Here is a 15,164-nt window from a genome sequence, read left to right on the forward strand (position 1 = left end):
ATACTATATATGGAAACTTGTGGGATATATTATAGCTAAAGCTGTGTTAGAGGAAATTTAGAGCCTTACATAAATACATATATTATAAAAGGAAAAATATTAAAAGTTAATGAACTAAGCATCCATCTCCAGAGGTTGGAAAAACAACAGCAAATTAAATGCAAAGAAAGTTAAAAGAGGTGAGGCCGGGTGCGGTGGTTCATGCCTGTAATCCCAGCACTTTGGGAGGCCAAGGTGGGTGGATCACCTGAGGTCAGAAGTTCGGGACCAGCCTGGCCAACATGGCGAAACCCCATCTCTACTAAAAATACAAAAATTAGCTGGGCGTGGTTGGGGCATGCCTGTATCCCAGCTACGTGGGAGGCTGAGGCAGGAAAATTGCTTGAACCCAGGAAGCAGAGCTTGTAGTGAGCTGAGATTGCACCATTGCACTCCAGCCTAGGCAACAAGAGTGAAACTCCGTCTCAAAAAAAAAAAAAAAGTTAAAAGAGGTTATCAGTAAAGAACAGAAGTTAATAAAATAGAAAAGAAACATACAATAAAGGGAATTGGGCTCGGCGTGGTAGCTCACACCTATAATCCCAACACTTTGGGAGGCCGAGGTAGGTGGATACTTGAGGTCAGGAGTTCAAGACCAGCCTGGCCAACATGGTGGAACCCCGTCTGTATTAAAAATACAAAAATTAGCCTTGTGTGGTGGCAGGTGCTTGTAATCCTACCTGCTTGGGAGGCTGAAGCAGGAGAATCACTTGAACCTGGGAGGCAGAGGTTGCCGTGAGCCAAGATTGCAGCACTGCACTCCAGCCTGGATGACAGAGCAAGACTTCATCTCAAAAAAAAAAAAAAAAAAAAAAAAGTGGTTCTTTGCAAAGTTTAAAAATTTATAACTCCTGGTAAGATTGATCAAGAAAAAAATATTTTAATATTTTAAAAATAATATTAATTTAAAATATTAATTATTTAATAATATTAGAAAGCACAAATAACCAATATCAGGGATAAAAAAGTAAATACATACCAGATCTTACATAGCATTAAAAGTTGTAAGAGAGGCCGGGCGCGGTGGCTCACGCCTGTAATCCCAGCACTTTCGGAGGCTGAGGCGGGTGGATCACGAGGTCAGGAGATCGAGAGCATCCTGGCTAACACGGCGGAACCCTGTCTCCACTAAAAATACAAAAAATTCTCTGGGCGTGGTGGCGGGCGCCTGCAGTCCCAGCTACTTGGGAGGCTGAGGCAGGAGAATGGCGTGAGCCCGGGAGGCAGAGTTTGCAGCGAGCCGAGATCACGCCACTGCACTCCAGCCTGGGCGACAGAGCGAGACTCCGTCTCAAAAAAAAAAAAAAAAAAAAAAAAAAAAGTTGTAAGAGAATGTTGTGAAGAAGTTATAAATTTATCCCAATAAATTTGAAAATTTAATTGAAATAACCTAATTCTTATAAAAATTCAACTTATCAAAGTTAACACTAGAATAAAAAATCTGAATAATCTTATAACTTAAAAAAAACTGTAATCTATTTAAAAACCTTGCCACAGTAGTATTTCCATGAAACAAGGAAGAAATAACGCCAGCCTTTGGCTCTTACAAAGAATGGAAAAAATATTAGTTTTATGAGTTCTACATGAACATTAGAAGAAAGGGAACTAGGTCATCTAACTTTTGAAATGAACATAGATGTAAAAATTCTAATAAAAGTATTAGTGAATTGAATCTAGTAACATTTTAAAAGTGTATATAATACATTATGACTAAGTTGAGTTTATTCCAGAAATACAAAGGTTAGTTTAGCATCTGAGGGGCCTCAGGTTGTGGCTCACACCTGTAATCCCAGTGCTTTGGGAGGCCAAGGTGGAAGGATTGCTTGAGGCCAGGGGGTTCAGATCAGCCTAGGCAATATAGTGAGTCCCACTTTTTTTTTTTTTTTTTGAGGCGGAGTTTTGCTCTTGTTGCCCAGGCTGGAGTGCAATGGCATGATCTCAGCTCACCACAACCTTTGCCTCCCAGGTTCAAGCGGTTCTCTTGCCTCAGCCTCCCGAGTAGCTGGGATTACAGGCATGCGCCACTGTGCCCGGCTAATTTTGTATTTTTAGTAGAGACGGGGTTTCTCCATGTTGGTCAGGCTGGTCTCGAACTCCTGACCTCAGGTGATCCACCTGCGTCAGCCTCCCAAAGTGCTGGGATTACAGGCATGAGCCACTGTGCCTGGCCGAGTCCCACTATTTATAAAAAATTTAAAAAGTTAACCAGGTGTGGTGTTGCATGCCTATAGTCCTAATTACTCAAGGAGATTGAGGTGGGAGGATTGTTTGAACCCAGGAGTTGGAGGCTGCAGTGAGCTCTGACTGCATCCCAAGCCTGGGCAATAGAGTGAGATCCTACTTCAAAAAAAAAAATAAATTAGAAAAAAAATATAAATTGGTCATTGTAATTCACTGCATTAGCCAAAATCAAGGAGAAAAAAAATCGTATCACAACAATACATGCAGAAAAACCATTTGCTAAAATTCAAAATCCATAATAAAAGGGTTATCAAGTAATAGATGAGAACTTTCTTCTGATAAAGCATACCTATTTGCAGAATAGCTATAACATTATAATAGTAAATGTTGAAATTTTTTCTTAATTTAGGAAAGAGTCAAGGATATCCACCACCAATATGTTACTGGAGTCTTTTTTTTTTTTTTTTGAGACGGAGTCTCGCTCTGTCACCCAGGCTGGAGTGCAGTGGCGTGATCTCAGCTCACTGCAACCTCCGCCTCCTGGGTTCAAGCAGTTCCCCTGTCTCAGCCCCCTGAGTAGCTGGGACTACGGGCGCATGCTGCCATGTCCGGCTAATTTTTGGTATTTCAGTAGACATAGGGTTTCACCATATTGTTCAGGCTGGTCTCCAACTTCTGACCTCAGATGGTCCACCCACCTCAGCCTCCCAAAGTACTGGGATTACAGGCGTGAGCCACCGCACCCAGCCAATTACTGAAGTCTTAACCAATTCAGTAAGGCAAGAAAAAGAATAAAAAATATACTGACTGGAAAGGAAGAAAGAATTATTCTTTTCATTTATAGCCAATAAAAAATATGTTGATTGTTCTGAAAATCCCTTTTTGGAAAAGAAAATATGTTGAAAATCTAAAAGACCATAATTATTATTACTAATAGATGAGTTTAATGAGGTTGTCAGCTCTTGGGTTAATATAAAATTATGAATATCTCATCACCAGGAAATAGAGGCCAAAAAAAGAAAAATGAACAACAAAAAAAAGGAAAAAAAATATTAGCATCAAAAATATCAACCTAGGAACAAATCTAATGAAACCTGGAAACTATTCCTTTATGATTAGTCCATTTTGTTCTCTTTTTTTAAAATTAAATTTTTATTTTTTTGAGGAGGTTTTGCCCTGTCATCCAGGTTGGAGTGCAGTGGCATGATATCATGGCTCACTGCAGCTTTGAACTTTCCTGGCTCAAGCGATCCTCCCACCTCAGCCTCCTAGAGTGTTCCAGAGTGCTGGGATTACAGGCATGACCACCATGCCCAGCTAATTTATTTATTATTTAATTTTTTGTAGTGATGGGATTTTACTGTGTTGCCCAAGGTGGTCCCAAACTCTGGGGCTCAAGTGATCCTCCCCAGGCCTTGGTATCCCCAAGTGCTGGGGTTACAGGCGTGAGCCATCTTGCCCGGCCTATGCTCTTTTTAAGAAATTTATACATGTCAAAAGTCACAAATATATTTTTCTATGTTCTTTTAAACTTAATTGTCTTGCCTTTCACATTTAGAGGTACAGTCTACTTTGAATTGCTTTTTGGGTATGACATGAGTGAAGAGTCAAATTTTATTTGATTTCATTTTACTTTATTTTTTTGAGACGGAGTTTTGCTCTTGTTGCCTAGGCTGGAGTGTGATGGCACGATCTCGGGTCACTGCAACCTCCGCCTCCCAGGTTCAAGCAATTCTCCTGCCCCAGCCTCCTGAGTAGCTGGGATTACAGGCATGCGCCACCACACCCGGCTAATTTTGTATTTTTAGTAGAGACAAGGTTTCTCTATGTTGATCATGGCTAGTCTTGAACTCCTGACCTCAGGTGATCACCTGCCTCAGTCTCCCAAAGTGCTGAGATTACAGGCGTGAGCCACCGCGCCCAGCCTCATTTTACTTTATTCTTTTTTGAGACAAGGTCTCGTTCTTTGGCTCAGGCTGGAGTGCAGTGGTGAAATCATAGCTCATTATAGCCTCGAACTCCTGGGGTCAAGCAGTTCTCCTGTCTCAGCCTTCTGAATGGTGTGGCTTGGACTGCAGGAGAGCACCACCATACTTGGCTAATTTTTAAAATATTTTTTGCAGAGATGGGGTCTTGCTATGTTCCCCAGGCTGGTCTTGAACTCCTGGCCTCAAGCCATTCTCTTGCCTCAGCCTCCCAAAATGCTGGGATTACAGGTGTGAGCCAACTGTGCCTGGCCAGGTTTTATTTTTTCCCATAGCAATAACCAGTTGATTCAGAAATATTTATGAAAAGATTGTCCTTTGCTTATTCTGCAGTGATGGCTATGTCATAAATCAAATGTTTCATCTGTGTTTGCATCTGTTTCTGTAACTGCCTAGGTCTCTCTTCTGTTCCATTGGTGTACTAAAATCATACTGTTTTATTCGTTGTGCTTTATAAATCTTAATACTTACCTTAGTTTTTGTTTTGAGACATATTCCGTCACGCAGGCTGAAGTGCAGTAATGTGATCATGGCTCACTGCAGCCTGACTTCCTCGGCTCAAGGAATCCTCCCACCTCACCCTCCTGTGTAGCTGGAACCACAGGCATGCACCACCATGCCCAGCTAATTTTATTTTTATTGGCAGAGACGAGGTCTCAGTGTATTTCCCAGGTTGGTCTTGAATTCCTGGGCTCAAGCGATTCTCCAGCCTTGGCCTGTGAATGTGTTGGGATTACAGGTGTGATGCATCGTGCCCAGCCTGGTTCTTTAAGAATGTGTTGGATTCTTGCCTTGTTGCATTTTCAGATAAATCTTAGCCTTTTTAGGGCCTATGGAATGGCATCTCACTATCATTTCAATTTGTAGTTCCATGATTACCAACATCTCTTCATAGGACATTTGACCACCTGGAAATTTCTTTTGTGAAGTGACAGTTTAAAATTGTCTCACATTTTTCAGCTGTGTTGTCTTTTTCTTATTGATCTATATGAGTTCTTTATCTATTCTAGATATAAGATTTCTGTTGTTTGTATGCGTTGCAAATAATCTCTTCATCTCTATGCTTGCCTTTTTGCTCTCAAGGGAGTCGTTTGATGAACACAAGCTCCTCATTTCAATGTATTGATACTTCTGTGTATGGTTTTCACCTGTTCTTTGTAGGGGAACGAACGCCAATAAGCCTATTCTGTTCAAGTACAATTAAAATTTCATTTTAAATTTAGCCATTCTGTTTTACTTACAACTGATACTTGCTTTACAGCTGTGGATTTCTTCAATCAGATCAACATGCTTTATGGAACTATCACAGACTTCTGTACAGAAGAGAGTTGTCCAGTGATGTCAGCTGGCCCAAAGTAAGACATAGTTAATGATCAGTTTCTTATTTTTACATTATTTTACGGTTCTTAAAGAAAAACGAAGTTTCTGACCATATGATTTTTCTACTTATCGTCTCTTTCTGAGGTTTGCCAGTGACTATTAATCTAGATTCCTTAGCTTGGGGTTTGTGACTGTCCATCTTGCCTTTCCTCTGTTTGCTTATGTGTCTTCTCTAGTCTGTCCTAACTGGATTACTGGAAATACCTTGCTGTTCCCTCCATTACGTACTTCTCTGGAAGCTTGCTTATTCTCTTCTTCTCTTGGACATTTTTCTTCTCTCCCATTTCACTCCTGTCATTTTCTGTCAATATTTCAAAAAATCTTACTGATCTTCAATTCTATTATCAAATATTTCTCTGTCAAAGCCTTCTGATTTCATCAGACTAACTTTTTTTACCTTTGTAATGAAATTTGTTTGTTATATTTCTTACACTATTCATATATGTTTTATTTAACCTGTTGGATTTGTTCTTTTAATTCCCTTTTGGTGCAAGGACAGAGCTTGCCACCTTGTTTTAACACCCAAAAAATGTGGGTTGAATCAGTACATTTTGGAAACTGGCTTTTATTATTACTTCTACTAATAATAGCAATGACAGTTACCATTTATTTAGTGGTACCTAAATGTAAGGCCTTTCATACATGTTTTTTACATCATATGTCAACATTCATTATAAGAATATTGCTCTATGCATTGCCGTAGACTCAAAGAATTTAGTCAAATGATCAAAGAGCCCGTAACAGAAGTATAATATTGTAGCTCAGGAAAAATATGGAGATACCATATGAAGAGGTAAAAGAAGTTGGCAGTTCTCAGTAAAGAGAAAGGAAGACTGCACTAGGAAAGACACAAAGCTGTGTTTGAACCTTCACTTCTTTCTAGCCCATGGAGATGAGTATAGCTGCAGAGCTATTCAAAATCTAGCGTCTGTCAATTCCCTTCCTCCATTTACACCTCTTCCTGCAGAAGTATGTTTGTGGTTTTTACCCGTCACGGGACTGTTTACTTTGGAGAAACGTCTTCTGTGGACTTTGTATGGGGTTTGTAGTTGCAGGTGCATCTTTTGTTCTCTCCTCACCCTGTTTGAACTTATATGAACTGTCACACTCCCCACCTCGCCTTTTTGAAAAGTCTAGTCAAGATAGTCCCTTTAAAAAATAATGTGGTTTAGGCTGGGCATGGTGGCTCACGCCTATAATCCCAGCACTTTGGGAGGCTGAGACTGGCAGATCATCACCTGAGATCGGGAGGTTGAGAGCAGCCTGGGCAACATAGTGAATCTCGTCTCTATTAATAATAGAAAAATTAGCTGGGCGTGGTGGTGTGCATCTGTAATCCCAGCCACTCAGGCAGGAGAATCACTTAAACCTGGGAGGTGGGGGTGAGGTTGCAGTGAGCTGAGATCGTGCCAGTGTGTGTACTCCAGCCTGAATGATAGAGTGAGACTCTGTCTCAAAAAAAAAAAAAAAAAAGTAATTTAAAGACATAGGTGTCTCCTAGTTTTATCATCAAAGCTAGAGTGTGAATTTCTGTTACTTGTTATTTCGGGAAGATTTATTAGAGGAACGGGGGCATTTAGAAATGAAATCAGTCCCCCTTTAGTATTAATTCTTGCCAGTATTACTGGTGTTCACTTTGGTTAAGCTTCACTTGTGAAAATAGATGTCTTTAATTTTTCTATTCTGTGGTTAGTTATGCCTTGAGAAATTAAATAGCACTGCCTTCTAAGAAAGCCAGTTCTTCTGGCTTGAGAGCTGTTTGTCTCTGCTCCTGTATGCATGCATGTGTGCGTACATAGTGTTAAAGCTGTGTGGTCTCCTGCCTGCGTGTCTGCTTCCCTCTCTTTCTCTTCTTTCTTCCTTCTTTCCCTTCCTTTCTCCCTCCTTCTTTCTTCTTTCTCTACGTCTCTTTTCTTCTTCCTTCTCTTCTTGTCTTTCCTCCCTCTCTTCCTTTCTCCCTTTTTTTTTTTGGGGAGAATCGTGACATTTCCCAGTCATTAGTGCTAAGAAGATGTAGTTGTTGTCATAGTTCTTCATTTTTACCAGCAGATGCAGGATTGTGCCTAGGAGAGGCATTTGTTAATACTTAATAAATGCTAAGCCCCTTGCAAAGTGGTATTGAATGATGGCTCGTAGAACTTTGTTCTCAGATACTGTTTTTTTATTTTTATTTTATTTTTTTGAGACAGAATCTTGCTCTGTTGCCCAGGCTAGAGTGCAGTGGTGCGATCTTGGCTTACTGCAACCTCTGCATCCTAGGTTCAAGAGATCTTCCCTGCCTCAACCTCTTGAGTAGCTGGGATTACAGGTGCATGCCACCATACCCGGCTATTTTTGTATTTTTAGTATAGACGGGGTTTCATCATGTTGGCCAGACTGGTCTCAAACTCCTGACCTCAAGTGATCTGCCCTCCTTGGCCTCCCAAAGTGCTGGGATTATAGGGGTGAGCCACTGCACCTGGCCCTCAGTTACTGATTTTTATTATTATTAAAAAAGAAATTGTGAATTGGAGTTTGCAGTTTACAAGTTCATGCTGTGATGACAGAAATACATTTCAAAGAGAATAGTCTGTCAAAGGTAGAATGAGAAAGGCATCGCGGCAAAATAGAGCTACAGAATGAAGGAAGTCATTCTAAGTATAAACACGATGAAAGAAAAGAGATTAGGGAGTCTTAGTTGTAAACTCTAAAGGTCTAAGCAATACACAATTATTTTATTTTATTTTATTTTATTTTATTTTTGAGACGGAGTCTCGCTCTTTCACCCAGGCCGGAGTGCAGTGGCGCGATCTCGGCTCACTGCAAGCTCCGCCTCCTGGGTTCACACCATTCTCCTGCCTCAGCCCCCCGAGTAGCTGGGACTACAGGTGCCTGCCACCACACCCGGCTAATTTTTTGTATTTTTAGTAGAGACGGGGTTTCACTGTGTTAGCCAGGATTGTCTTGATCTCCTGACCTCATGATCCGCCCGCCTCGGCCTCCCAAAGTGCTGGCATTACAGGCGTGAGCCACCACGCCCGGCCTAATTATTTTATTTTTCAAAAAGCCTTAGGATATTGAAAGTTAATATTTTTAAAAAATACTTCAGGATATTGAAAATTATTCTTTGGTTTACCTTGTCTGTTTCTGATTTTTACATTTAAATATGAATGTGACACATCTGAAAATGATTGACAAGATGAAAACTTGATTGTGAGGGAAGGTTAAAAATGTTAAGATTTCTTAACATAAGGTAGTAAACATGGTTGTGCCCGTCTCTTAAGAATAATGATGGGCTGGGGATGGTGGCTCACACCTGTAATCTCGGCACTTTGGGAGGCCAAGATGGGAGGATTGCTTGCGCCCAGGAGTTCAAGGGTGCGGTGAGCTATGCTCGTGCCACTGTACTTCAGCCAAAGCTACAGAGCAAGACCCTGTCTCAAAAAAAAAAAAAAAAAAAAAAAACATAATGATGGCTAAAATCTTACCATTCACGGTCTCTAGCTCCTAAGAGGAGCAAACAAGGAGATACAATAGGCTTAAATTGCACTAAGAACTTTAGTGTTTTATTAGAATCTTTTGATTGTGAAAGTGATTTTGACTGTGAAAGTGATCAAACAGTAAAAACAGAATATCAAGAGGTGTTGGAAAGTAAGTGACTAAACAGTAAAAACAGGATATCAAGAGGTGTTGGAAAGTATCATACTTGGAGACCTTCAAAGTGGACTTCATCCTTATTGCCCCACTTTTGGCAGTAAGGTTGTCTACAGAATGTTTAATTCAGGTATAGCTTGTTTAGTATTATTGTTCAGGTATAAGTAGTTCTGATTAAATAGAAAGCATCCTCATTTATCCTATCCGAAGATAATTTTTATTGTTTAAAATACCCTATAGTATTTTTCTGTTATATATTGTCATCTCCTTTCCCAGGCTCACTGACCTGTCATTTAGCCCAAACTCTGGGGACAAGGGTAGAATTGAATCAAAGGGAGAAGTTAAGCAGCAGGAGTAACCTTTTGGAAACTAAAATACTAAATGCTAGTTCAGTTTAGAGATTTTTCCACTTTGGAGTTTCACCTGTATGCATCTTCCTTATCTCAAAATTCAGGGTATGTGTGTGTGTGTAACTCTTTTAGGGTTTTTTTTTTGAGACGGAGTCTCACTCTGTTGCTCAGGCTGGAATGGGCACCATCTTGGCTCACTGCAACCTCCTCCTCCCTGGTTCAAGCGATTTCTGGCTAATTTTTGTATTTTTAGTAGAGATGGGGTTTCACCATGTTGGCCAGGCTGGTCTCGAACTCCTGACCTCAAGTGATCCACGTGCCTCGGCCTCCTGAAGTGCTAGGATTACAGGTGTGAGCCACCGTGCCCGGCCTCTTTTAGGGTTCTTACACTGTTTTTACATCTTCACTCTTGAGTCTGCGTTTTCTACTAGCCTGTTTTCCTTGAGAGTAGGGAAAGTGTCTTTCATTTTAGTGTTTCTTGTTCTTAGTATCTTTTACATGGAAGGTGCATATTAGATGTTTATTGAATCAAAGGATGGTGGTGTTCTGCTAATACCAAAAGCCTTTATTTGGGTTGCAAATTTTCTTTGGACCTTCTTTAAAGACATGTCTAGATCTTCAGTTAAATGTACTCAAATATGAAATCATTCTCATCTTCATTAATCTTATTTTGGTGCTTCTGTGTCATTCTCTATCCTTAACCGAAAATTTAAAGCCCCAAGTTAAAAAGAATTGTACTGTGTAAGGAGAAGTGGTTTTTAAGGAAGAAAAACAACCATAAAGTCCAAAAGTAGTCATCATAGAACTAGGAAGTAAGCTAGTTTTTCTACTACAATAATGTCTGATTCTAAAATATAAATGCTATTTATGGTGGCTATGTAAAAAAATGGACATGTGAGGAGAGCATAGAAACAAAACATGAGTTTGTTGGGATCTACTTAGTTTGGATTGTGATAAACGCAAAGTAGTCCACTGGGTATTTAAAAATGTATCTTTATTTGGAGGAGCAGAGTGTTGAAAACATGTCTGTGTGTACATTAGTAATATAGATACATAAAATATATACACTGTGTATAGGTATATACTAATCTTCTGTGTGCTTTTTATCTCTCCAATGCAGATATGAGTATCATTGGGCAGATGGAACGAACATAAAGAAACCTATTAAGTGCTCTGCACCAAAGTATATTGATTACTTGATGACTTGGGTTCAGGACCAGTTGGATGATGAGACGTTATTTCCATCAAAAATTGGTATAATTAATTTTTGTAAGGGGGATCCATCATGATTTATCTTTTATATGTTTATAGAATTTTCCTCCCTCTTTCCACTATATCTAGTTGGAGAGTTCTTTATGGCTGTGTTGATATATGTATATGTTACGCAGTTCCCAAGAAGAGGCACAAAAGTTTGTTAACCCAGTGGTAAAATAAGCAAGTGATCCTGTGTGAATTGAGCTTTTCCCCTTTAACTTAGTGCTTTTAAATGCTTAATTAGCTGAAAGTATAGGTTTATTAGAAAATAAATGATCTCCCTCTCTTAAGGTAATTATTTTTGATGATATTCTAGATTAAAGTATCACTGAGTTTATTTTCAGACAATGATAGCATTTTTTAACACTTTAAAAAAATTATGATCATCATTGAGAATAAACTTACTTCCCTGAAGTAAGGGAAAGGCTTAAGAAGCCCTTTCAGTAGAAAGTTCTAGATGGAGGGTTATTCCTATTCTAGGAACCATGGTAAATTACCATACATAACATATATTTTTAATCTTATGCACTTACAGGTGTTCTATGTTTTTCATACCAAATTTATCATGAACATTAAGGTAAACCCTCTATTTTATTTTATTTATTTTAATCTAAATTTTTCATTTTTTGGGAGACAAGAGTATCTCTGTATTGCCCAGGCTGGAGTGCAGTGGCGTGATCTTGGCTCACTGCAGCCTCCACCTCCCGGGTTCAAGTGATTCTCTTGCCTCAGCATCCTAAGTAACTGGGACTACAGACGCGTGCCACCACGCCCAGCTAATTTTTTTGCATTTTTAGTAGAGACAGGGTTTCACCATGTTGGCCAGGCTGGTCTCGAACTCCTGACCTCAAGTGATCTACCCACCTCGGCCTCCCAAAGTACTGGGAACCCTCTCTATAATTTTAAATGATGAGATCAGTATATCTAGGATAGTAACAAAATCTGGCCCAAAAAACAGAATGGATATTGAGTAGATTGCTAATAACATCTGCCACAGTTGTATCTACTTATTTAGGGAAGTTCATATGGCTTCTATCCAGTGTTATTTAGTAATATATTTGTGATCAAAAGGGAGTTTGAATTTATGACCCACAATATGAATCTTACAGATTCAGATATTAAGCTATGTGAGAAGAAAACAAGATTTGAGGGGTTGCTGTATCATCGGCTGAGTGACTTTGCTTTTTTGTATTTACTTTTAAGGGCAGACTTATCAAGTAGAAATTGTTTACGTTTAGATAGTCATGTTTTTGCCTTCTCAAACTTCTGACAACTGATTGTCTCAAAAAGCTAAGAATCTGCTCCTGTAATGTTAGAACTTTTTGACATTTTACGATTTTTTTTGAAAAAAAAATGTGACAACAATATAAATAGTTGTTGTTATGGAGTACTTTAAACATATTTATTGAATGCATTAACCACTTGGAACTTTTTTAATAAAAGAGCAATTTTTCAAGACTGAATTACATATATATATATATATATATATCTCTCTCTCTCAATCATAAGGGTTGGATGAGTGTCCCCACCTTATCTCTTCTCTCTCATAATACAGTTGTAAAATTTTTATTTTGATCCAATTTCAAACATTTAGAAAATTTACAAGACTTATACAAGGAAATGTAAAAAGAATCATACAAACCCTTCATCCAGATTCTTAGTCGTTAACATCTTCCTCCTTCCCTCTCCCTCTCCCGAGCCTCTTTCACACATACACATACATTCATTCATTCCTTTTCCTAAACTGTTTGAGAGTAAGTTGCGTATATGATGCCTTTAAAAACTTTAATATGTATTTCCTTAAAAAAATCAGTACAGATATCAAACTTAGGAAATTTATACTGATGCTATACTATATAGATCTCATTTGGGCTTTTCAGGTTTTCTTAATAATGTACTTTATAAGCAAAGGAAATCTTTTATATTTGTTTTATTTGTTGTCTCTTTAGCCTCCTTTGATCTGGAAATGTGCACTTTAGTCATTTTTGGTTTTTCATGACATCGATATTGTTGAGGAGTGCATATTATTTTATAGATTGTCTTTTCACTTTGGTTTATCTTATGTGTCTTTGTGAACTATAATAATTTTAAATGAGCAATAGCAATATGATGGCAATATGATGACATTGAACCCAGTAGTACCAATATTGGCTGTTTTACCAATCTGCATCATTTAGTAAGTTTAACAAAGGATATGGGATTTTATACATTTTTTAAAATAAATTTTATTGTATATATTTAAGGTATACAATATGATGTTATGAGATTATACATAATAAAATGGTTATTATAGTGGAACAGATTAACATATCCATCATCTTACATAGTTACCCTTTTTCCCCCTTGTGGTAAGAGCAGCTGTAATCTCATTTAGCAAAAATCCTGAATACAGTATACTATTCTTCTTTTAAATTTTTTTTTTTGAGACAGGGTCTCACTCTGTTGCCAAGGCTGGAGTTCAGTGGCACAGTCACATCTCACTGCAGCCTCATCTTCTGGGCTCAAGCAATCCTATCGCTTCAGCCTCCTAAGTAACTGGGGCCGCAGGTATACACCACCATACCTAGCTAATTTCTAGTTTTTTGTAGAGGCAAGGAGCCACTATGTTGCCCAGGCTGGTCTTGAACTCCTGGCTCAAGTGATACTCCCACCTTGTCCTCCCAAGCATTGGGATAATAGGTGTGAGTCACTGCCCAGCTTCAGTACACTAAGTACACTATTTGTAACTATGGTCCTCATGTTGTACATTAGATCTTTAGTCTTGTTCATTTTACGTATCTGCTACTTTCTGTCCTTTCACTTAGCTCCACCACTCCCCCTGGTAGTCACTGTTTTATTCTCTATCTCTGTATATTTGACTTAAAAAAATTCCACATATAAGTGAGGTTATACAATATTTTTCTTTTTGTGTCTGGCTTGTTTCACTTAGCATAACATCCTCCAGGTCCATCTATGTTGTGGCAAATTGCAAGATCTCTTTTTGTAGCTGAATAATATTTCATTGTGTATATATAGCACAGTTTTAAAAATCCATTCATCTGTTGATGGACACCTGGGTTGTTTCCATATCTTGGCTATTGTGGACAATGCTGTAGTGAACATAGGAGTGCAGATGCCTTTACGACTGGGTTATTTCATTTCCTTTGGGTATATGCCTAGAAGACGGATTGCTGGGTCATATGGTATTCTATTTTTAATTCTTTAGGAACCTCCATGCTGTTTTCCATAGTGGCCATACCAATCTGTGTTCCCACCAACAGTATATAAGAGTTCCCTCTTCTCCACAGGGATTTTCTATTTTTCTGCTTTTGTATTTCAGTGCTGTAAAAGTGCTGTAATTTACAAATCGATGGAATAGAGAATGCAGCTAATTTCAGGACAAATGTAGACCTGGAGTAGTAATGAAGTAATTCCCATAGAAAAAAGTACAATATAAACTGCAAGCATTTTAAACAAAACTGAAGGTGGTTAATGCATTATTTCTGTTCAGCACATATTTGTATTGAGACTTAAGAAATCCGATGATCTGAGTGTGAGTTTAAGCTCCACTACCATCTTGGGTGTGTGTGTGTGTGTTTCATTTTAGAAATGTGGTGGTAGTATGTTAGAGACATAACAGGCTGTAATGAAGACTAATTCTTATACCATAAAAACTTTGAAGTTTATTTTCATTCATGACATGTTGAGAACTTCTGAAAAGGTATAATGGGTATATGTATAAATTCATAAATGCTACTTCTTTTCAGCCTTGTCTTGGTAATTTATGTTGACCTTTGCCGACAAACTCATTGTCTTGTTGTCATCTCTTGTTACTAGAGGGAGTTGTTTATCTCTTTTCTAGGTGTCCCGTTCCCAAAGAATTTCATGTCTGTGGCAAAAACTATACTCAAACGCCTCTTTAGGGTTTATGCTCACATTTATCATCAGCATTTTGACCCTGTGATCCAGCTTCAGGAGGAAGCACATCTAAATACATCTTTCAAGCACTTTATTTTTTTTGTCCAGGTAAGTTGGATTAGGAGGCCTTTGGTGCTCAGGGTAAGCATTTATCTTCATAGTTCTAAGGTAAATACTGTATTCACACTGTCAGGATGGAATTTGCCATATCTCTGTAGTCTGCATCCTCTTCTACAGTTTTCCATGATGATAAGGACTGACTTTTTGTTTCTAAATTTTATTAGTTTCCAAGTTGATGGTATGCAAGTCTAAAATGGATTTGAAAAGTTGTGCCTTGGATTTGCTTCAGTTAACAGGCCATATGGAGGGACTGGATAATGAATCTGACTAGTTTGGCAGATCTGTGGATGAACTGGTTCTCCTGGGCATTTTAGTACTTCTCCTA

General features: G+C 38.6%; 1 protein-coding gene across 6 annotated transcripts in view; it reads left to right on the forward strand.

Annotated features, from left to right (window-relative positions):
• Window positions 1-15,164, forward strand: part of MOB1B (MOB kinase activator 1B) — an 86,318-nt gene that overhangs the window by 62,614 nt on the left and 8,540 nt on the right. For 5 of the 6 annotated variants that reach the window (XM_011532412.3, XM_005265709.3, NM_001244766.2 and 2 more), the window contains 3 exons: window positions 5,467-5,560; window positions 10,689-10,822; window positions 14,664-14,827. In XM_011532412.3, coding sequence (XP_011530714.1) covers window positions 5,467-5,560; window positions 10,689-10,822; window positions 14,664-14,827 — 392 coding nt within the window. Of the gene's footprint in view, window positions 1-5,466; window positions 5,561-10,688; window positions 12,286-14,663; window positions 14,828-15,164 lie in introns of those variants that run through there. The other variant, NM_001244767.2, reaches the window with a different exon arrangement.

The sequence above is a fragment of the Homo sapiens genome, chromosome 4, assembly GCF_000001405.40.
Source record: "Homo sapiens chromosome 4, GRCh38.p14 Primary Assembly".
In the NCBI taxonomy this organism is placed as follows: domain Eukaryota; kingdom Metazoa; phylum Chordata; class Mammalia; order Primates; family Hominidae; genus Homo; species Homo sapiens.